Raw genomic sequence first — 24,439 nt, forward strand, 5'->3', positions numbered from 1 at the left:
TGTTCTTTGTTGGTGTGAGTTGTAGTTACACTCTTAACCCTACAGAAAGCATCTGCTTCTGGTTGGGATAAAGTCATGAGACCATTATTCAAACTCTAATGCCAAGAACAAACCAGCTAAGTTCCCAATCAAAGCTTTTTGAAACCATAAGATAGCAGAGAACAAAATAAAGCCTAACTGAATGAAAATATAGAATCAGACAAGCCCTTTCTAGGAGAAGATCCACAGCTGCTTTTATCCCTGAAGGAAGAGTGAGAGGAGGAAGACAGAACTCTGCCTTTAAAAACCGTAAGGATAAATCACCCAAACTTTGAAGGAAACTTAAGTCACCGTGAGTCAACAGGCTGGATGAATTCACATCCTCAGGGAGTCTGCACCCACCACTGACGCTTTCTCATGGGCCTTTACCTAGTGTATGAGGGGGTAAACCAAAGGTTGGGTGCAGCGCTGAAGAGCTGTCATGCTAAGGAAGAAGTTCCAAAAGGTGGATTGGGATGTTAAAGCACAGACAAGACACCGTTTAGGAATCTGTTGTAGGATGGAGGTAAGTGAAGGTAGAGGCCTTGGAAATGAGGATAAGTGAATGGATTTCATGAACCAGTTTAGAGATAGAGGAGAAAGAGCCTTGGTGTGGCACTCCTACATCACATATTTTATTCTGTTATGAGGTTAAAAATTAGATGCATAAAAACCCCATTATATAATTTTGTCACAACTGTCTAGAATGAGAACTGCATGGAGAAATCACGGAAGCTCTTGGTCTAGACTAATATGCTATCAAAGAACCCAGAGGCTACAAAAAGATACCACAGGAAGATTGGTACCAAATTAAAAAAATTAGCCCCAGAGTACGATACAGATAGAATTCCAGAAAAATCTTTGGACTCGTGGGGAAGTAGATATGAAGCACATTTATGTCCAAGAGTTTGGCTGGGGTCAAAAAAAAAAAAAAAAAAACCCCAAAAGCCAAAAGCCAACAAGCTTCAGAGATTAGGTAAAGAGGAAGTTGTAGATTTATGATATTATTTTAACAAATCTTACAATAGATGAGTTTTACCACTTAATCTCAAGCATCAATCTAAGTGGATAAAGTCAACAAATAAAATAAGTCTTTCCTAACATAACTATAACAATACGGCCATATTAAACAATTTATTGGACTGGTGGGGAAAGGAGAGGAAGATTCAGATTAGGTGACATTAAATACCCCACGGTCCAGTCCCTATACGAGAATTTTCTTGGTTCTTGCCTCTGAGCCTCCAATTTTGGGCAGCATCCAGTTACTACCGGTGGTCTTACAGTTATTACTACTTTTACTGAAGCCTAATTGAGCTGGGTTTTAGGTTTATGCCTTTGTAAAGTATGCAAAATTACACAAAAAATAAAATACTGGAAGTAGACGATTTATGAGAGAATGTGATCAATATGTTTGTTGATCTTGAAAATAGCCTAGGAAAGTGAAAGGATAGATTAATTAAAGAATTAAGCCAAACATGAATTTTAATATTCAGAGACATTTATAAGCAAAACACCCTAAGGTATATTTATAGAGCCACTTTAATTAGGCAGTATTCAAAACAGCTTTACACATGAGTCAAGTTTTCAACGTACTTTAAATATGCATCTCTTCTAAATGAGAGAGCTGGGGTATTGTAAACCAAGCATGGAACCTGGAATCAGAACATGAGGCCTTGAGTCCTGGCTCTGTGGGTTACAAACTCTGAAAGTAAATCATGCAACTTTTTTCAAATGTAAAATGGAAAACTCTAAGGGGCTGCCACAAAGTTTATACAATAATGGATGTAAATGTGCTTTGTAAAATGAAAAGTGATATATCATTTCCTCAAAGGAGTGAAGCAAGGGAAAAATATGTTCATGAAAATTTGCTTTTATTCAATTAGCAGGCTTATCAATAATATCTGCATATATACTTAAGAGAGTACATTTTAACTTACTGATACTGATGCAAAACCAAAGAATCCTGGGTTCTCTTTCAGACTGTTATCCCCGACATTTGCATTAGCCAGTAGAAATCAGATAACTATCAAATGTATCTAAGAATTACCTGTCATAGTGATTTCTCATGGATTACATTAATATCGCCCATATAATTTCAAGAGAAACTGTATCAGAATAGTTTAGCCTGTGAATTCAGAGAAACCTGAATGCAAACTCTGCATCTATTACTTCCTAAGTGCATGATTTTGTAGAATCTAACCATCCTTAACTTGGTTTTATACCACAAAAGTGGAGATGTTCACAGTACTAGTATCACAAGTTTCAAGGATTTAAGAGAGAGCAGCACCTAATGTACTTAACAGAATGCCTGACATGTAGTATAGAGCTTACAGATGTTTGCTATGATAACATTGAAAATGTTGCTTCAGAGCAGATGGAGATTTTTGTTTTCCATTTATGGTCATTCTCATCCTTGAAGAGGTATGCAATCCCATACGCACATAGTGATATAGGTTCACATTAGTTAATGGCCAGAAGGAGATTCTGACATCTATTGAATAACCACCTCAAGCCAGGAACTATGACAGACACTATAAATACAAAGATGAACTAGATGTTAACTCTAACTTCAAATATTTCACAAGAATGTAAGACTCTTAAGGATAGATATTTGTTAACTCTGCCCATGGAGGTATCTTCAGGGATTAAAATAGTGCCTGAAATATTGGATTTCCTTGGTAAATACTTGGGGAATAAATAGTCTTAGTGGTTTTTCTACCATACATATAATTATCCAGATCCCAAAGTAGAAGATGCTTTTAATATATTTTGGATATCCAGTGAAGAGAAACTGTAAAGTATATTTATCATTACACAGATATAACTAGAATTGGGTTTAAAGCCTTTGAAACAAGGTGTTTTTTTTTTTTTTACAAAATAAATACAATGACATTTGGTACTTTGAAAAAAAATTTGAGAAATATTCAACACACATAGGAAACAATTTACCAAATGACTGATAACAGGAGGGAAACCTGATACCATTTTCTTACTGATGTATTAACACTTCCCACTATTAAATTTATACGATCATAAAATTTATTTTTAAAGATTTAAAGCACTGCTCACCTGGTCTTCTTCTCCTCCACCTTCTTCATCATATTTTAAAATATTATCTCTTACATCATCTTCTGGATCAATTAAAAGTTGTTTGGCCTGGCGTTCTTTATCCCGGCGTTTCATCCATACCACAAACATCAGCACAAGGACTAGGTAGAAAAATAGTAAAAATACATAATATTGTCATTTTTAAAGCCTGGCCTATTTAGTCACAGTATTCAGTACTAATAATTTATACTTATATGAACTGAAGGCCTGAAATGCGTCTTTCACTCTACTATCTATTTCTGGCCTCACATTAAGAGAGACAAGACAAAGCAAGCTAAAGCACTGGGTTTAGAGTATGAAGGCCTGGGCTCCCATCCCTGGTGCCCTCTGCAAACTCACTTGAGAGGTGATCATCCTTGTTCTCAGTTTTACCATCCATATATGGGGACAGTAACTTTTTCTATCTTCCCTTTGGCTTGCTAGAGGATAGTTGCCCTTCATAGGGCCTTGTAAATTCTAGAGACACAAAACAGCAGTAAGGTGTTACTTGCTGTGTTATTTCGGTTGGTCAGTCATCATTACACTCCGAAATTCACAGAAGAAAACACTTATCCAGGAGGACAAAGCTTGCCCAGATGACCTGGGTAGTAAATTGGAACTAAGTCAGGAATCAGATCTTGAGGTTTTGACTCCCAGAGGCCGGTGCATGTTTCAGCTAAGAAAGCTAGGGGATTCCTTTGAACACTGAAATAATATTAGACTTTCATGTTTTACACTTTGCGCCAGGTCTAGAACCATAAATTTTCCAGTGAGTTGATGTTAAAATCAGCACCAATTCAGTTTCCTTCAAAATGTCAGTTACTTCTTCATTGCCATAATCCATCATGCCTAAGTCTTTCTTGATAACATTGGCATCTATGCCACATTTCAGTTGAAATGGAAACATATCCCTAGGTGCACATCTAGGAACAAATTCTATCTAAAATCTGGGGGTATCAGTTTACATCCTGAAGCAAAAGATTTAATGACTCCTATTGGAGCACATTTTTATTATTGGCCATAAAAGTAAATATCCTCCTTTTAAAGCCAGATAACATGATCTCATTTGCTATTGTTCCAGGGCTAAATCTAGCAAGTGGATTATTAGTATAGCATGCAGGTTTCAAATTATAGCCAAAGTAGTCTCCACACAGGAAGTAAAAAATGCTTAGACTTCTATAGTAATTGCTTAGAATAAAGGGACAGAATTCTAAATTACCAGAACACTTGTAAATGGAGAAAACATAAAAGAAATGGCCAACATTTTCAAGAAAGTGATTGGTGCATAGCATGATCGCACAATAAACTAAGTCCTGCTGCTATTCACAATAAAACACAGGGCCCAGGCAATTTATTCTTTTAACCTGCATGCTTAGAAGTGGTTCCTAAAGTACTTTCCAGTGGTTAATTTTTTGCATTCCATTGAACCAAAGATTGCAAAGTACCTTAAAAAGAAGCAATTCCTTAATCTACACTTACTCTAAAGACAGACAATCTACTGAGCTGTGTAATCATTTCTATTATCAAATGTCCTGTATGTGAAGTACAATCTCTCACTCTTCTACACAGCCCTTCAGAAACAAATACCTTGATCCTCGCATGACTGGAGCACGTTGCTGACTGTGCTTTATATGAAGGAAGGTGAAGGAAAGCAATATACTTATTTTCCTAAATCATCAACTACGTGCCATAAATTCATACTCAAATCATAAGAAAAGTGCTCAAACTTGGGATTGTTTAATGTTTTTCTATGAAAAGCGTTTACTACAGCTCCCTAAGCAATAAGCATGAGAAAGGGTAAGAGGGCAAGGAAGAGGCATGCTGAGGCAGCTTGTTGCAAACATCAAGTGCTTGAAACAATGCTCTGGGGTTTTTTCATTCTAAAGTGGACTTGGTCGACCCATATATGATTGGCGAGGAAATGCTGAAAGGTCAAAGGGTTGTTAGACTACTTTGCCAGGCAATAGCAACACATGACTTTGCTGAACATCCTAGAAGCCAAGAGAACTGAAATCTAAAAGACAATAAAAGTACTCACTAAGCAGGATGATGATGCAGAGCAGGATGGCAATGATGGCACCGGTGCCAAGCCCCGCACCCACAATCCTGTCCACATCTGTGCAGTCCCCGTTGGAGTCACACTGGCAAACCTTCACACGCAGGATGGAAATATTTGATTTGGGAGGATTACCCGAATCTGTGATTATGATGGGAACTTCATAGATACCAGCTTCAAGAAATTTTATCTTTAAATTAAGCTGAGCAAAATCACCTATATGAAAAAGGAAAAACATAGTTTGATAGGTAATACTTAAAGCGATAAAAAAACACATAGCATTGTTCAGGATGTATTTACTACCTAATAGTACACATAAAGCGGATTACAACTATGCTGCATTCTAAATACTTTTTTGGCCGTAAAGGCCTTTAATATCTTACTTAAACTTTAAGTAGCTTTTAAAATATGTATAATGAGAAGATTATGAAGCACATAAAATTAACTTTTCATGCCAGGCTTCAAAATCTCTCAACTGCACATATATTCAAATAATTAACCTGTTCTTACCATTAAGCCGAGTGATGGTCCAATTTCTCTTAATAGTCACTGGAGATAAAGGAAGATCAAAAGCAAATGGTCCAGCATTTGGATCAATGTCATAATCAAGTGCTGTAATATTAATTGAATTGGGGTCTGGAGTTTCGCAAGTCTCTGCCTCTTGAGGTAACACTTGAGGGGCATTGTCATTAATATCAAGTAAATAGATCTGCAGCGTTCCTGTTCCACTCATAGGAGGAATTCCTGAAAAGAGAGAAAAATCACAAATGATGCTGAACAGTTCTCTCCAATGAGCCTCAATTATGGTGAAATTCTCAAAGCTTCTAACCTTCTGGCCCTTTTAACTGTGTAACCTTGGAAAAACATAGTTGCTATGGCATCTGGGCAGACCGTTTCCAGAACAAAGCCCCTTCTTGCTTCCCTGCTAGAATGACCCTGAGCTGCCACTGCTGCTCTGCAGGAGCTGAGCAAGGTGACGAAGAATGCCCCTGTGATGGAATCCCGTACCCTCCCTGCCCCTCCTGCCCATTATTCAGGGCTTGCGTAGACCATGCTCCTCCAGGCACTGTGAGGAGTGTTGGAGATGCAAACACAGGGCTCGTGATCCTGTTGACACTATTCTTTTTATGGAGAACCAAGACATATGCATGAAAGAACATAAGAATGCTTTTAACGCTCTAACACAGCTTTGACTTAACGCAACAGTCTACAGACAAGTGATACAGAACCACAGACCTCAACTCAGGAAGGAACATCATGCAGAAGAGAAATGATATTTACTAACCAACCAACTACCTGCTTGAGATCATATTAGGCTGCTCTATGTACACTCTTTGATTGTAATCCTATGACACAGGTTTACACAGATGAACCTGAGTCTGTAAACTGCTCATGGCCACACACTCTTGTAAGTGGTGGAGTTGCTACTAAATATTGGTCGGCCTGACCTCAAACCCATTCTCATTCCACTATAATAAAATGCTGTCTCCACCACTTTGTGTGATAATTTAATCTGGTGATTTGCTTCTGCTACATTGTAAATATTCACACACACACAAATATATAATATGTTTATGAATATTTTATAAATAATGCTGTACACTGAAGACCAGAGACTTAAGCGACCTGCCAAAGGTCATGCAACTAGGAAGGTGCACATACATACACAATCCTGGGGAGGGAATAAGGAGGAATGTTTACCAACTTCTATGAGGAATATGATGGTTCTAAGAGCAGGGAGAGTTGAACTGGAAGGGTATAGTGGCTGTTACAATATTCCAACACCACCATGACCACTATGATACTCAACAGTTTGAGGGACTTCGAAATTTACTATCACATTTAATATTACTATACTTTTATAACAACTATATAGAATATGTAGGTAGTGAAACAATTTATCAATAATGAAACTAAGGCATACAGAGTATAAGAGCTTGACTAATCATTAACGAACAGAGCTGGGGCTCCAAGTCTAGCCTTGTGGCTTAAAGGAAAGTGCAATTGCAAAGCATCACAGCTACATACATTATAACAGGTCACTTCTCTCTCTTATCAAAAGCCCTTTCAATTAGAAAACAATCCTTCCTGGTGAATGAGAAATCTGGTTGTAACTCACAACCAATATACATACATACATACATACATATAATTTTATGGCTCTTTAGATCTTAACATAATGATTCAAGATGCATTACTTTCAGTACCACTGTAGAAGAAAGCCACGGTTTATGGCAAAAAAGCATAAAACAGGTACTAATGACATGCTTTGATGTACAATGGCAAAAGCTATTCCTACAAAGTTCCAACACTAAATATTTAAACAAGAGGTCCCATATTAAAAAGGATAAGAAATATTTCTTTGGTTGGTCACTACATAGATTTTCTACAGATAGTAATCTCATTAAATCTTAGTATACAGATTTAGAAAGGTTCACTGACATTATTCTTAAAGTATTGATATGTCTTATTTTAGTAATGCAAAATATTTTACAATTTGAAAATTGCAAACACCAACTTCAACCACCAAATTGAAGCCTGCTATTTTTTATTAAGTACCAACATTCATATTCATAGTTTAATACTGAAAATATTTTAAAATATAGTTGTGGTTCAGTTTTGAAACTATTAATACGCAATAGGAATACTTAGTTGAGTGGTTAGTTCGTGTCAGCCACTGTTTCAAATGCTTCATATATATGTAGAAGTCATTACATTTTAGTTAAAACACTGAGTTAGGTGCTGATACGTATCTATTTAACAAAAAAAGGAAACAGATATATTTAAAACCTCATGGCAATCCCACAGATTCAAAGTGGGAAAGCCGGAGTCTGCACCTGGGGGTCCTGTAGAACTCCAGAGCTTGAAGTCTGAAACACACATCGTACTGAGAGCTAACGAAGCAAAATAAGCCCCTCATCAGGTTTACAAAAGTCCCCTTTATATTACATATCTGAAAAAAGTCCTTATCTATTAATCTTAACCAATGAGAAACCAGCAGAGACTCAGAAAGGAAAAAAAGGTGCTACATATGTATTCTAAAACCCATACCCTGAAGCTCACTACTCACTTATCTCAATTTATGCACAAAATTAAGTTTCCTAGCCCATGGCAGACAGAGGCAGAGAATTATAAAAAGGAAGACTGATAGAGATGCACATATGAAAGGCAACAGAGTGACTAGAAGACATATAAAAAGAGCCACTGAAAAAACCCAGTGTCTAGGGCCACTGAGGATGGACTTAAGGCATCAACATGTGACAGGACAATAAGATAACAAAGGTATGTCTACATGAACGATGGATGGACATCGAGAACAGTCATTGCAAAGACAGTGAAGGATGTTCCAGAACACCTGTCTGAAATGATAAATAAAAGCTGGACCTCGGAATTATAAAAGTCAGTTTTCCAGGCAATTGAGTTTTGTAGAAAACTTTAATTCCTGAGCATGCATGATGAGGATCTACTGTCTTTCATCAACATACAAGAAAAAACAGCGAACATACCATTGTCAGAAGCAAGGAAAGTAGCATTATATATATTGTTTTTCACATTTGGTGATTCTCGGTCCAAAACAGCAATTGTAGTTATTTGTCCATTCACAGGATCTATTTTTAGCCAATTGGCAGGATCAGATAATTTAGTGTATCTACAAAATGAAAGTGAAGTTTAATTTCTTTTTATGAAACTTTAAAAAAACATATTTTACAGGTTTAGTTCCAAATGCAACTGGCTCATTAACTTGCATTTCTGTAGATGATGGCTGGACATACAGCTTTAACAGGAAAAAGTATTTTTGTGACAGTGGTATTGGGAGGCACATAAAGGTTGTGTTTGGTCAGGCATGTAGGAAACATTCTACAGGTGTCTGAGGGACAAGACTAGGTGCACAGTCTCCCTAATGTGGGCTAAAGCAGATTGGAAAGTTATCATTTTAGGTTCTTGTCCACTTCAACAGATATCAATGGTTCAGGTAAAATAGCTTGAATATAGTTTCTAGATAAGCAGTAGTCTCAATGTACAGGAGTTAAGAGAAATTATAATAGAAATTGAATACTGCATCACAGAACACTCCTAAAACATTTTAACACTTTATCATGGCCAACATGAAGCCACACTGGAGAGACCACCATAATCCCATTCCTACTTGAATCTTTCACACTGGGCCAAGCCTCAGATCTATACCTTTGCAAAGAAAGTCCTACAGTCTTGAGTCTGAATTGGCAGATTTATCAGCTTAAATTCCTTTTTAAAATTTGGAGTGGGGATTAACTTTTAAAGATTAGATAACCAGTTGGATTGGAAAAGGTATGCTATGTTTGGAAAGGTACAAGTTGTAGGATTTCAATACATCTATTAACTGGCTATTTATTAATAGTTATCTTGATTTCAGTGAATAGAGAAATGGAGAACATTTAACATTTAATAAAAGATAACAATAGAAAGTTATCTTTTAGCAGCAGTTCTGTAAGAAGTTTAATGAAATATAAGTTCATTTTAAAAATGATCATCACCAGCTTTGGAGAACAGTCGCATGGGGTGTGCTCTGGCAACCATCCACTCCCTCATCAGAAAGGATAAATTACATTTTGCTGAGTTTGGAAATCTTTACAGATAGGTTTCATAAGTCCAATAACTACTGTACAGGTAAGGAATGAAAATAATTAACTCTTAGATCCTGGTTTTGGCATAAGCTTTCTTTCCTTCATGATGCATGGAGGAGAGATAAATGTTATAAGCCTCTGAAAGTTCCCTGCGGAACCTTTTTGTGATGTTTGGCATAAAGGCACAGGCTAAATAATTTTAAAGTATTTTTTAAGTAAAAATGGCAGATACAGAGAAACAAGAACAGCTTTTTCTTCAAATAGTAAATCCATTTTAATATGGATACAGATATCTATTTATATCTAATATAGTCATTGACTTACTGAGAAGAAAATTCAAAGAATTTTAAATTATCTTTTAATAAGTAGTTTTGATTGCAATGAAAATTTCTACTCAAATAGTGAATTAGATAAATTTTATGCACAGCATAGAACATAAGTAAGCTACAAAAACACTACAAACAGCATTTCATACCTAATATTTTGCTGCATATATCGATCTGGGTCCTGAGCAGTGAATGTTGTCAACATGGTACCGGCATGAAGCCCTTCTTCTTGGCGAATGATCTTAGGATTGGGGGCAAAATAAGGGTTTTCATTTACGTCAATAACTGTAACAGACACGGTTGCAGTTGACTGAGGGGGGTGCTGAATTCCCTTGGCTAATGGCACTTGATTTTCTGCAGCAACAGTAAGGACAAACATCCTATTTGTTTCAAAGTCGATTGGCTGGAAAATAAAAGGGAAGCCATATTTTTGCAGGAAATAAGAATGCTTGCATTCTGTAGTTTATTCCTCTATCAACTCCATTTCCAAAAAATTAATTTCTTCATTCACTACATAACAAGGTTCCTCTCAAGTTTCTGGAAAACATGCATTAGCATGGTCACTTATCAAAATATTTATCCCAATTTAACCTAATTATAAATCTTGAGTACTTAAAAGATTTATGTTCACAAAACAGTGCACATGATTACTGCACAGATTTATTTATTTAGGTACATCTAAAAACTTGATTATTCTTAAGAATAGCATTGTTGACTAAAAATACTAAATAATATAAAGTCAAGTGAGAACATGATGGTCTAAATGTATACTCTCAAACATTAGTACAAAGATCACTCCTCACCCAGGAAAGCTTTCACCAGTCTATGATGAATTGAAGAAAACAAACCAAAAATCAGAAAATGTAATTTTTAAATACAGCTAAACTTATTTGATTTAAAAGTACCTTTCATAATTTGAAGTACACATTTTGCAGTACAAACATGTATACATAATCGCACACACACCTTTTAAAAATAATACTGTTGGTAGGTGGAAGATATTTTTCTTTTCCTCTTAGCAAACTAAAACTCTGCTGTCTTCTGGAATATTTCTGGATATTTTATTGGTCTGTAAAACCCCCAAATTTAAGAAAAACACTCTAGATAAATGCAATGCACAAATAACCCTTCATGTAAATACTAACTTCCAAAGTTCACTGAATCTTGCTGTCACTAGAAATATTACCAGGAGTCAAATGACTAGACTGGACATTCACTCTTAATTTTCCTTGTTCACCTGCGAATGGATGTGCAAATAAGCATTACTGTGCAGTAATAACAGGAAAAACAAGAGCATTAAGATCTCTTAGGCTCATAATTGGTAGCCTAAGAATGATCGAGAGGTGACGCTCATAAGAAAGCTTCATTATCAGCAGAAACTGCACCAGTTTCGTACCCTAGACCACCTTTTAAAAATCTTCAAACACATCTTTTTTTCTCTCTAAATCCCCAATTCAACATTCCTTTCTCTAGTATTTTAAGCAAGACAGAAAAAAAGCCAGAAAGTTAAGACTGCAATATTTAGAGTGATTTCACTAGCCACACGAAACCTTCCCCTGATGTAACATTTATGCTAAGGGGTATATGCACAGTTCAAAGTCCTTTAATGTGTATGAAGCTCATTTATCTCTCAGAACACTATGACTAACATACTGTTATCAGCCCCTTTCTGCATAAGAAACCTAGAATTTACAGTGGTTAAATAGTTGGCCATGATCACACAGATATCAGGAGCAGAGCTGGGACTCTAACACAGACAGCAGACTCAAGTTGGTGCTTTTGATCACTATGTTCCTTCTGAGAGTTTCCATTCCCATTCTATTCTACTCCCGCATCTGCATAATTATTGGCAACTGGCACTTTAGCACATCTTTCTATGTAAGGTCAATATTTAGGTTCACTTACAAATCAAGAGTGCTTAAGTGGGAGGCAAAGAAGTAAATCTCTTTACTGGGTGGCTAAAAGGAAGGGATGTTCACTTTAACAGGCTTTTCCATTATAGCTACGCATTTATTATTCTTGAAGAACATCCCCTTGGCTTCTAGCATGCAACTGTTTTGTTTGGTTCCTTTTTGACCATAAGATCAGAAGAATACATTTCTTAACGTCTCGGAAATAGCATTTAAAAACAGCCATGCAAATGCAAGAGCTTTCTAAAATGCAGGCTTTCTTCTTGCCTACTCATTACATTTTTCTTCTATGGCTTTTCTGGTTTGTTCACTATCTGCCAATATTCTAATAGCTGTAGACATGAAAATAGCAGCTGTGAGGCATCATTCTTAATAGCTATCAATGGTGATCAAAATTTCAGAATGTGATATATCATGAATATATCAACTACACTAACAGTTAATGTTGTTCAGGCCAGTCCTATCCTCAGATTGGTAAAAACTGTCCAAACTGATTCAAAAACAATCATCAAAACTCTCACTCAAAACTCTCATTCAAAAACTCTCACAAAACTCTCATCATAAAACTCATTCAAAAACCCTCACATCAGTGATGATGTGAGAGTACTGATGTTGGCCTTAGCCTCAGCATAAATTAAACAGTAAGATATAACCTCCCAAATATATATCAGACCCACATCTGGAGATGTCTGAAAGAAAAACGTCCTAAGTTTCCATTGCAAAACAATGAGTGGGGGACATATATTGGTCCTTGCTGAGCAGCTGTTGGAGAGATCAGTGGCCCGAGGAACACTTACTTTGACCACGGTGACTAACCCGTCGTTGCTGTTTGGGTCGGTCTGGATGGCGAACCGTCCAGTAGGATCTCCGCCACTGATTCTGTACACTGCGTTCCAGGCTGGTGTATGGGGTTGATCCTTATCGGTCACAGTTAGATTAGCTACTATGATGTCTACCCTGTTCTCAGGAACTTCACCATAAAACTGCGAGAAAGACAAACCTCAGTCAGAGGAGGGGCATGGACCACTGAAGGACAACTTGTCTTGATGACCACACCGTCCGATTTTACTGCCCCATTAGATTTTTATTATCTACACTAAATGAGGAGACTGATAATGCAGGTAATCACAGCATTTATGTCTGACTTTAAAAATACTGTAACATTTTTCAGTAGTCCAATTTTTTTCCAAATTACCTTACAGTTTCATTAATATTAAAATCAGCATCCATTTGTGAGTCTCTGGGTGATTATGGTGGGGTGGGGGAAAGAACTTGTCTGTGCAAAATGATTTTACTCCAGATATGGATAATTATATGCTGACAAAGTAGCATAAATCAGTCATGCAGCTCATGCACCTGAAAATATTCATAAGCATTTTGTTGTAACAGCACAGTCTTTTTAGGACGTGTTTTCCAGGCAGCTTATTTTAACAACTTTAACAGTGGACTTGAAGACTACGAAGAAACAAATTACTTGGATGCCTCACGTAAGGCCCTGATGACAGAAATGTCCGAGTTAGCAGCCATGCTACTATTAGGTGAAGCAAGTTCCACCTCTATTTAACACATTTATTATTCATGACCAACCTTCTCAGTAACGAACTACAGACCCAAAGTTGTGTGAGTGACAGGCTGTACTCACCGTCATGGCAGTAAACTCTGGAGGATTGTCATTGACATCTGTCACTGTGATGACGGCCGTGGCTGTGTTTGAAAGGCCATATGTGGGATTGCCTTCCATGTCTGTAGCTTGAATTATTAACGTATACTGTTGCACTTTCTAAAAAGACATAAAGATAAGAACTTAAATGAAACTAATTCCTCAAGAAGACATAACAGTTGTTCTGTAAACGGCTCTTTATAATGCAAGGAGAGCATGGCATCATTCATTCTGATTAACATGACTTGAAATTTCGCAAGTGGAGTTTCCTTTAACTTATGAAGCACAGGTCTGGTCCTTGTCTAGAGAGATTTAACTGTGTATATTCACCTCTACTGGCAGAAAGGAATGCACTGCAGATGTGTGAAATTCACAGCTAAGCTGAAACCTCCATCTGGTTCCAACTTTTGCCTTTCTTCACTTCACGAGATTGTGATCAAGCATTCAAGTCATTTGGTTCGTATTTACTTTCTTCTATGTTAATTTCTACCCAGTTTAGGATACTAAAAACAATGAAGAATCTCAAGACAGGGAGAAGAACACATACATAATTCACAAAGTATATAAGCTTTCCTTTTATATGTTCTTACATATATTCTATTATTACAGGGTAGATGCAATATTTCCCCTTAAATTCTATTGATACATATGATTCAAAACCATATAGAAGAGATATACAGTATTCTTAAACAAAGTCAAAACTTGAAGGGTTTCCGTTTATTTCCATAGTCTTCTAACAGGGCATATATTTGATAACTGCATATTCAATGGATTAGGATTTGGGTATAACACTCATTGTGTCCACTGCTTTAAGCACAGACCTACAATGGATATAAATATTGATACATTTACATGTAGATGATTATTATTAGACAGGCATCCACTACTTTCAAATTCCAGGTTGACTGTTTTAAAAGAGCCAAATTAAGCTATAATATATCTAAGAGAAAATGCTGAGATTGAGAAGTCAGGCATTTGCTGAGTAAGTTTTATATTAGGAAAACCTAACTTTAAACAATATCTAAAATCATTTGGAATCTCTGTGGAAATTTGCAGATAGATCAAAAACAGTGATCATTTTCATAAATGTTAAAACATTCTGAACAACAAAATCCGCTACATACAAAAATAAACTGTCACTGCAAAGTGCAGTTTTCCCTGTTTCTAAATATAGCTAACATTATGAATGGCCATTCTTAAGGGATTTCTGGAGCTTAGATAGAACACACACAAATTGTAGCTTTTGATTTAGTTGTCAGGGGGAGGGGCAAAGAAAAGAAAGGAGTAGGAAGGAAAGCCAAACCGCCCACACTAGATTCTAAGTCTCTGTCTGTCCACCCAAATGCCAATCTCTAGCAGTTATTTATTTCAGTTATTTTTTGTCTTCCAAAAAGAGAAAATGTTACACTATTTTGAATTAAAAAACACACACGCAGTAAGAAATAATGTTGGTTGAGTCATTTAATTTTTTCTTAACCCACAGTACCTCACTATAATGTTAACATAGGCTAAGGGCTAGGTGCGGTGGCTCACGCCTGTAATCTCAGCACTTTGGGAGGTCGAGGCAGGCGGATCATGAGGTCAGGAGTTCAAGACTAGTCTGGCCAACATAGTGAAACCCCGTCTCTATTAAAAATACACAAAAAATTAGCCAGGCGTGGTGGTGGGCGCCTGAAATCCCAGCTACTCGGGAGGCTGAGGCAGGAAAATCACGTGAACCCAGGAGGCGGAGGTTGCAGTGAGCCGAGATCGTGCCACTGTGCTCCAGCCTGGGCGACAGAATGAGACTCCATCTCAAAAAAAAAAAAAAAAAAAAAATGTTAACATAGGCTATAATACTTCTTCAGTTGCTTTCCTTCCCCAATTAGAAGTGTCACTTCAGCTTAATGCTTTCATGGTTAGTGAGAGAATTTCGCAGGACATTCAGTTCAGCCTCCCAGCTGAAAACCATGAAAATAAAAACTTTTATGACTTTTGAAATGTCAGTTTTGTTAGCTGCTATTTGCAGAAACAGATGAACATTCTCAAAAAGAGAGAAAAAAAGGAAGCTTATTTCTTAAGAAGTTAACTCACATAGGTATTACATGAAAGTATAGTTATTTCCTAATGTCTAGTCTACAAAAATCTTTAGAATTATGTAAGCATAATACATCCAATAATTTTCCATTGATCTGCAATATTGGAATTAGTAGCTAATACTTGAAATTTCTTATTGCTGCAAGCTAGTCTGGAAATTTTAAATTACAAAAGGACACTTGTTATTTCCAAAGTACAATATCTCTTCAAATAAAAAAAAAATTCCACTTGGTAAATAGTAAATAATGTCATCTCCATTTTCAAATGCCAGATTGCTAAAACATTCTTATATTTAGTAAGGAAGGCTTGATAGCCTGTGTTTTAGACAACTGAACTGCTTAGAGCTTCTTGCCTAATTTGGTCATTGGGCATCTGGCTGTGAATGACTGACATTTAGATTCCGTTAAGTGTTCGACTTCCCACTCTCATAGTACCTCAGCTGATCAAGGGGATTCTGCTTGAAAACTTCTCCTCCCTTCCTGCTCTATATGGAATAAAATCCAAAATCATCTGCTTGCTGTCAATCCTTCCCTCTCCGAAACTCGCCTATTTTACAAAAGTGATTCCTCCCATTCGCTTACCCCACACCTGGAGCTGTTTTGCATTTATCTTCAAATGCCCTGTCATGATCCTGTGTCATTCCATTTGGCATTCTCCTCTGCCTAGACAAGTGGATGTTACACAGAGTGAACATTTTGGGTTGTTACAACTAAGCACTCCTTAGTTGTGACAACCAAACTCAGTACCGACATCTAATGGGTAGAGGCCAAGGATGCTGCTAAACAGCCTATGATGCACAAGACAGGCCTCATAACCAAGTAAAAATGTCATAGTGTCCTGGCTGAGAAACCCTTGCCTAGAATACCATTCCCTTCATTCCAAGCCTGGCTAACATGCAGCTTACAAGTCACTTTGGAGACGACTTCTGAAAGTTCTTGAGGAAGAGCTGTTTGTGTCCTCAGGACAGAGCCCTTACAACACACCCCATCACTGTTTATAGTTTATATGGCTGTTATCAGTCGTATGTCTGTATCTGCCTCACTGTGCATGTGTGTGCATACAGAGACACAGACACACACACACGTGTCCCAAGGGCCCTTGCTTTGTTGATGCTTGTGCCACTGGCATATATGGCACAGTGCCTGACTCAGAGTAAGAATTCCACAAATGCTTCTGACTTGGTGGATGGATGGGTGAATGCATAAGAAACCTTGGGTTTTGCATGATCTTATCTCAGGTAAAGAAAAAGCCATCTTCTATTCACATGGATAGCTATAATTTACTTCTTAAAACCCATACTGGGAGCATAAACTAGCTCACCTTTTCCCAAAACCACAGTGATTCATGCACAGTAGTCCCAATTCTAACATTTCCTCATACTATGAGTCACTTCCTATTTATATTGACATTAATTTCCCTTTTTAAAGCTTAATTTATTGTAAAAGTCCCATAAATGGAAAGCTAGCATCAGTTATCATAAATATGACAGTAAAAAATAAACATGATGAAATTCTTGGATTCTGGCAGTCTCTACTTGATGAAGTAGCACGTGAAAGGCTGTGTCCGCTTGCTGTCCTAGAGGCTTCTCAGCATTTACCAATTAAAATCTTATGCACGTGCAGCACAATTTTGAAACACTGAGTGACATCAGTGAATGAGGAGGTGAGAACATTCAGTCATTCATACAGCAGACATTTAATGAAATGTCTTCAAAATGCCAGGCAATGGAGTATTTACTTGGGTAAAACAGTGACCAAAACGAGATACAGCCTTGCTTTCACTAAGTGATGGAGGCAGAGAGTAAAGGATCACAGGACCATATAGAGCCACCAAATGCATGAGTGCAAGTCTAGAAATGGTAGGAAGAAGTAATATGAAGAACCTTCAATAGTGCATACCAACTATCAGGTTGGTGCAAAAGTAACTGCAGTTTTTGCCATTACTTTTAATGTCATTACTTTGAGTAAAAAGAGAAGAACTTGATGACTAAACAGATTGCAGGTAGAGGGACAGCAGGGCATGGGAAAGGCAATTAAACGATGACCTTGGGAGACTGAGGAGAAGGTCCTGGTCACGTGAAATAGGAAATTCATCATAAATCACGGGTTTCAGGAGATGACAGATTTGCCTCTAGATAAATTGGGTTGGGGACAGAGAGTTGAATAACAATGTCACCGAAACTTAGGAGGGAAGTATAGATTTGTGACTCTGTTCAAATTCTTTTTTTTTTTGAGACTGAGTCTCACTCTGTCGCCCAGGCTGGAGTGCAGTGGCACAATCTCGGCTCACTGCAAGCTCTGCCTCCCGGGTTCACGCCATTCTCCTGCCTCAGCCTCCCGAGTAGCTGGGACTACAGGCGCCCGCAACCACGCCTGGCTAATTTTTTGTATTTTTAGTAGGGATGGGGTTTCACCGTGTTAGCCAGGATGGTCTCCATCTCCTGACCTCGTGATCCGCCCACCTTGGCCTCCCAAAGTGCTGGGATTACAGGTGTGAGCCACCACTCCTGGCCAACTCTGTTCAAATTCTTAACTGCTAAGCCCCACTTCCCTCATCTGTGAAATGGGACTAAAAGTACCATCTACCTTATAAATGTGGTCTTTCTTTTGTATACATATTACATGCTGGCACTGTTCCAAGGGCCTTGATTTAAAAACAAAAAACAACTTTTATTGAGTTTGAGCACTATGTGCCCAGCACAGTGCTATGCACTATGCATTATTTCAGTTAGTCCTCACAATAATCCTATGAGGCAGGTGGGGTTTTGAAACCCCATTTTACAGATGAGGAAATGGGCTTAGGAAGGTAAAGGAGCTTGCCATGGACACCCAGCCATAAGAGGCAGATAATAGACTTGAACTCAGGTATGGTCAAGAATCTGTACCGTTAACCAATCCACTACGTGAGTGCCCTCTAAGATGGTAAGAGTACTGCACACATGCAGCATGTGCACAGGTCAAGCGGGGGAAGCAGGTGGAAAGCCGGACTTCAAGTGGACAAGGAAGGAGTGGAAGTATTTTTTGCTTGTTTGTTCTTGAGACAGGGTCTCATTCTGTCACACAGGCTGGACTGCAGTGGCACGATTATGGCTCACTGCAGCCTTGACCACCCAGACTCAGGTGACAGGTGATCCTCTTACCTTAGCCTCCTGAATAGCTGGGATTACAGGCATGCACCACCACGCCTGGCTAATTTTTTGTATTTTTAGTAGAGACAGGGTTTCGCCATGTGGCCCAGGCTGGTCTCAAACTCCTAGGCTCAACTGATCTGCCTGCCTTGAGTGCTGGGTGCCCCTTGGAGAAGACTGGTGTGGAACTCAGGTAAAGTATAGTAACTTAAACATTTCTTTACAATTCATGTTCAGGGTAATGAGACAAGGAATATCTGCCCCACTGGATGTTGAGAATGGGAATCCAGATATACTTTCTGTGTAACACAGTCTATATAGAGGTATGCAGAGACTACTGTGGGTGATCAGAGAAGGGATTGAGAACTGGCTCTCAGAGGGTAAGGATTAGCCTGTTATGTAGGAGAACAATATTTAGGCAGAGGAAACGGGAACAGAAGAATAGAAAACTTCCTATTTGCACAAGGACTGTGTGTGGTTCAATGAGTGGTTGGGCATCATTTGTATGTGAAAGGCAAGTAATTCTGGGGGGTTAGGTTAAGGAGGGTTTTGGGGCCAAGGTCACAGAGGGTCTGGAATGCACTATTAAAAAGCTCTAACTTCATCCTATAGGGCATGGAGAGCTATGCTACCACAGTGGAGACCCAGCAGGTTTGTAGATTATGAAGCAACCTGTAGAGGAAGGAAGATTGAAGACAACAGAAAACAGGAGAACACCCCTTCAGGATGGAACTAGGAGTTGAAGGCACAAACAGAAAGATTATTAGGTTTGGAAAACAGGAAGTATTTCTTTCATCTTATGAAGAGGAGTAAAGGTGATAGATAGTGCTCAACCAGGAGATGCTGCTGTTGCTATTCATGATGGCAGTGGGGAAAACAATAGCTCAGATTTATTAGGCACTGTGCTGAATGCCTTTTAAAACGCTTTTAAATTTATATATATATACATATATACATATATATATGTGTGTGTGTGTATATATATGTATATATGTGTGTGTGTTTGTGTATATATATATACATTTTTTTTGAGACAGGGTGATATGGTTTGGCTCTGTGTCCCCACCCAAATCTCACCTTGAATTGTAATCCTCATAATACCCATGTGTCAAGGGCGGAACCGGGTGGAGGTAACTGAATCATGGGGGCAGTTTCCCCCATACTGTTCTCATGATAATGCATGAGTCTCACAAGATCTGATGGTTTTATAAGCGTCTGGCATTTCCCCTGCTTGCACTCTTCATTTCTCTCCTTCCGCCCTGTGAAGAGGTGCCTTCTGCCATGATTGTAGGCTTCCTGAGGCCTCCCCAGCCATGCGGAACTGTGAGCCAATTAAACCTCTTTTCTTTATAAATTATCCAGTCTCAGGTATTTCTTTATAGCAGTGTGAGAACAGACTAATACAGAGGGTCTCACTCTGCCACTCAGGCTGCAGTGCAGTGGTGCAATCACGGCTCACTGCAGCCTTGACCTCCCAGGCTCAGGTGATTCTCCCGCTCAGCCTCCCAAGTGGCTGGGACTACAGGTGCACACCACCATGCCAGCTAATTTTTGTATTTTTTGTAGAGATGGGGTTTCGCCATGTTGTCCAGGCAGGTCTTGAACTTCTGGGCTCAAGCCATCCACCCACCTCAACCTCCCAAAATGCTGTGATTACAGGTATGAGCCACCGTGCCTGGCCTGAATGCTTTATGTGTCATGTTACATAATTCTTAAAACTGTCCCATGAGGTAGGTAATACTATTATCCCCATTTATGGATGCAGGAGCTGAGGTTTCAGGTTAATACACTGAAAGTCAAACAGCCCATACTAAGCAGAGCCAGAGTTCAAACCTGGGGGGAGCAGGGGTGAGTCTTTGACAGTCCTGCACAAAAAGGGCAGAAAATGGACATGAAATGGAAAGGCCAGGAATACTACCAGCAAGTAATGTCACAAGAGGACAGATGGGAACAAATGCTGAAGACTGGGTAATGTGGCAAATACACCTTTAGGTCTGGAGAAGCTGAAGAATTAAAACTAAATTTTTAAAACCTGAAGATTAAACAAAAATAAAAAGCTGAATCTCACTAAGCATTTCAATGATTAGGAGTTCAATCACTTAAAGGTGTCATACATCCTGAGAGCACGAGAACACACATTACTTTTGACAGAAAGGAAACTGTGAATTCTAATAGAAATAAAAGAATTTCAAGTCTGCACGAGGCCTGAAAAAGTCAAAGTAATTTATCCCTGGCCTCAGGAAGAATTATCATAAACCATCCGAGATAGATGCATTTTTTCTATGTTAAATGACTTTCAGAAAAGGAAGGTTTTCCATAATTTTCCCTAGTAACTCATTGTTGTGTTTAATAATTTCACTGTCAAGAAGCTATTTCTCATACTGTATCTAACCCATAATTCTATAGTTTCAAATCCATTTCCACATTAGTTTAATCAAGGGGTAGTGAACAGCTTCTCTATCCACTGGAAGATAAACTTAATGACAATTATGGCCTCACGTCAGGCTTTCATCCTCTAAACGAAATACAGTCTGATTTTTAAACATGGTTGGTCTGTTTTAGTAAAAAGTATCTTTAATTTTCCATGCCTCTTTCTTTCCATAAAACATCCAGTCTAAATGAGATAGGAATATTACCATATGAAAACAGGATGAAGTCTCATTTCTGTATCTCACAATGACAATGTGAATGAAAGAGAAATATTAGGATTATGAAATGAACTAAATCTACTTGGTATATGAGCAACCTGGCACTGAAGAAAGAATACTGAAAATTACCCCATATTCTCTAATAAATTATGGCATTCATGCTGAGTTTATCGGCATATAAAAATAGTATTTCATATAGCAATGAAGAGGTGAAAATATACACATGTTACTGAACTAAAAGTACTACTTAAGAAACTAAACTGAGTCCAACAATCTCTGATGCAAATCATTTCTAGAAAAAGAACTGTTGATGCCTACAAGTCAATAGGTACAATGTCATAGGCATACACTAACTCCTAAGTAAGGCTCTCAGCTCAGAATAAACTAATCTTTATTGGCTCATATTACTTTATTGTAGTGCCTCTAGCACTATTTTGTGTGAACAATTGCAATAGTAATGTTTTCTTCTATTCAATTCAAATGAATGCTTCTATAGCAAATAAAGTGTCAAAAAACACGAACTTCTAAAATCCTTGTCAATGATATTTTATTGCAGTGGGTATAATGTCTCCTTTTGACATACATAATCTAAGTCTCATTACAGTAAAAGCTGGCTCAGCCAGAAATCTACAAAGCACAGATCTCCCTATGAGTTGGCGCTTTGATATTTCACTCAAACAATGATTACATGTGGTCAAAATAATGACCTTGAGAGTCTGTAAGAAAATAGTCAGGACAGAATCGAGAAAGGATGAAAAAGTTTCACCAGGAGTGGGGTTTTCAGGAAAGAATATGAGCAGTGCTTGAATCAGAACCGGAAGAACTAGAAGATCCAAGATCAAGATAAAGGTGCAAGGCATGCCTGGCCAAGGGGATCACATGTACAAAAACACAGGGGTATGTAGGAGCACAGTGGGTCGAGGCCTGTAACACTGAGATGGCCCACTGGGAATTAAAAGAAGTACCCATTCCATCTCAGACTGTGATACTGCATAGTATTTCAATGCCTTCAACATTGCATACATTTTCAACTAAATGTTATTTCAGAAATGTGTTTCTTTGTATTTCTAACTTTAAATACTTGTGGGTAGAATTAATGCAGTTACTACTGCTTAAATCTTTTAAGTAAATTAATCATAGAGTTAAGGGGCTAGTTCTAATAAAGAAGATAATCTACTATATACTATGTCAGACTATTCACAAGGGCTACAAAAAACCAAATCACATACATGTTATTTGCAGCCTTTTAATAACACAAGCATTAACAATTATCCTAAGTTTGTGTGCAAATTATTTGGCTGTGATTTTTAATTCCTCACAAAAACCTTTGACTATAAAGGAAAATGAGGAAATGTTAAAAATTTTAAAAATTAGATACCAGAGAATATTGCTTAGTCAGTGTCACATTAAAAACTACATAGGCTAGCATTGATTTATCCAGTATATATACATCATTTAACCAATTTGAAGCTCTGCAGAAAAATATACAACAGATTACTTAATGAAAACGATTAGCATTTGAATAACACTGTGAGTATATTGTGATGTGGAGATAAAATGTATGTGATATGATATTGTGCACCTTTAAGATTAAAAACAAACACAAATAGAGTTTTTGGTTGGCTTACTTCTCGATCAAGTCCAGCTGCCACTGTGATGATGTCACCAGTCTCATTGTTGATTGTAAACATGTTGGGTGAAGGGGTGCTTGGAGCCTGAGACACGATTCTGTACCTCAACATCCCATTGAGGGCATTGGGATCGTCAGCATCAATTGCTGTTACGGTCATCACATATGTTCCTAGAGACAGTGTACATGGAAAATGAATGGTTACCCTTCATTCCAGGGACCCCAAAATAGAAGGTATATTTATTGTTTTGATATGTCTTATTTTCACTTTTTAAAAACAAATATTTAAAGTCATTTAGACTTGATTAAAAATGCTACTCATAAGAACAGTACTTATTTCAAAAAAGATAAAACCTGGTCTGGATCTTTGAATGAAAAATTATACAACATACATATTTATAAAAACTCAATTTTTCCATAACTTAGAAGATAAATTCACTTTATGATTCCAAAAAGGTTCATTTTAGACCTTAATTTATATAAAATGCAAATAATGGGTAATACAGATACCATTAGAAAAGTAATTTATTGCCGCTGATTCTTCCCTCTGTCATCTTTTCTTCCGTTATGCAATGATGTCTAAAATAACATGCTGAGTATGATTCTCCCCAGTGCCTGAGTCACTTTCCGAATGTAGGCTGTGTGCAGAAAGCAGCACACTCCATTTCCTCAGGTCATAAGGAACCATTTCATGCACTGCTGTTTTGGTACATTGCATAGAGATTTGGCATCGTGGTTCATTATTTCCTCAGTGATTAAAAGAACATTGGAACCAACTTAGAGACTTCAATTTATTAGATATTTTGGAAAAGAAATCTTCAAAGCCTTTGTATCGAATTAGTTCAAACTAGCTAGACACTCTGTAATTTAGAAGTAGAGTGAGAAGTAGTTACTGTTTAGAGTGGTTTGTTCTGTGGGATCCATTTAAGGACTGAATTATGAAATGTTTATCTCCAGTCTACCTTCCTTTTGAATACTCAAGTTCAGTTCTACCTTACAGCCTGTTTACATTGGGTATTCTCTCTCCATGGTATACCTTGGGTTCTGAACTAACTGTGCTTTGGTAATATTATTCAAATCTCATTTCAGAACTTGTCCCTTTAAACGATTTACCTATTTTGATTATGTGTCATCCCTACACCCTTATTTTTTCAAAACCTTCAGTGTGTACTTCCTTGTTTGCATGTTTTTTATTTCTCTCCCCTACTACAATTTAAGCTCCAACAGGGCAGGAACTAGCTTGTCACCACTGTATCCACAGTGTCAGAACAAGGCTTACCACACAGCATATGCTTTA

General features: G+C 37.7%; 1 protein-coding gene across 4 annotated transcripts in view; it reads right to left on the bottom strand.

Moving 5' to 3' along the window:
* The window catches only part of CDH2 (cadherin 2), a 244,252-nt gene that overhangs the window by 46,978 nt on the left and 172,835 nt on the right, over nt 1-24,439 (bottom strand). For all 4 annotated transcript variants that reach the window (XM_017025514.3, NM_001792.5, XM_011525788.1 and 1 more), the window contains 8 exons: nt 23,141-23,313; nt 13,644-13,781; nt 12,799-12,984; nt 10,241-10,494; nt 8,668-8,810; nt 5,672-5,905; nt 5,144-5,377; nt 3,088-3,227 (listed from right to left, as the gene is read on the bottom strand). In XM_017025514.3, the coding sequence (XP_016881003.1) occupies nt 3,088-3,227; nt 5,144-5,377; nt 5,672-5,905; nt 8,668-8,810; nt 10,241-10,494; nt 12,799-12,984; nt 13,644-13,781; nt 23,141-23,313 (1,502 nt within the window). The remainder of the gene's footprint in view (nt 1-3,087; nt 3,228-5,143; nt 5,378-5,671; nt 5,906-8,667; nt 8,811-10,240; nt 10,495-12,798; nt 12,985-13,643; nt 13,782-23,140; nt 23,314-24,439) is intronic.

The sequence above is a fragment of the Homo sapiens genome, chromosome 18, assembly GCF_000001405.40.
Source record: "Homo sapiens chromosome 18, GRCh38.p14 Primary Assembly".
Lineage (NCBI taxonomy): Eukaryota > Metazoa > Chordata > Mammalia > Primates > Hominidae > Homo > Homo sapiens.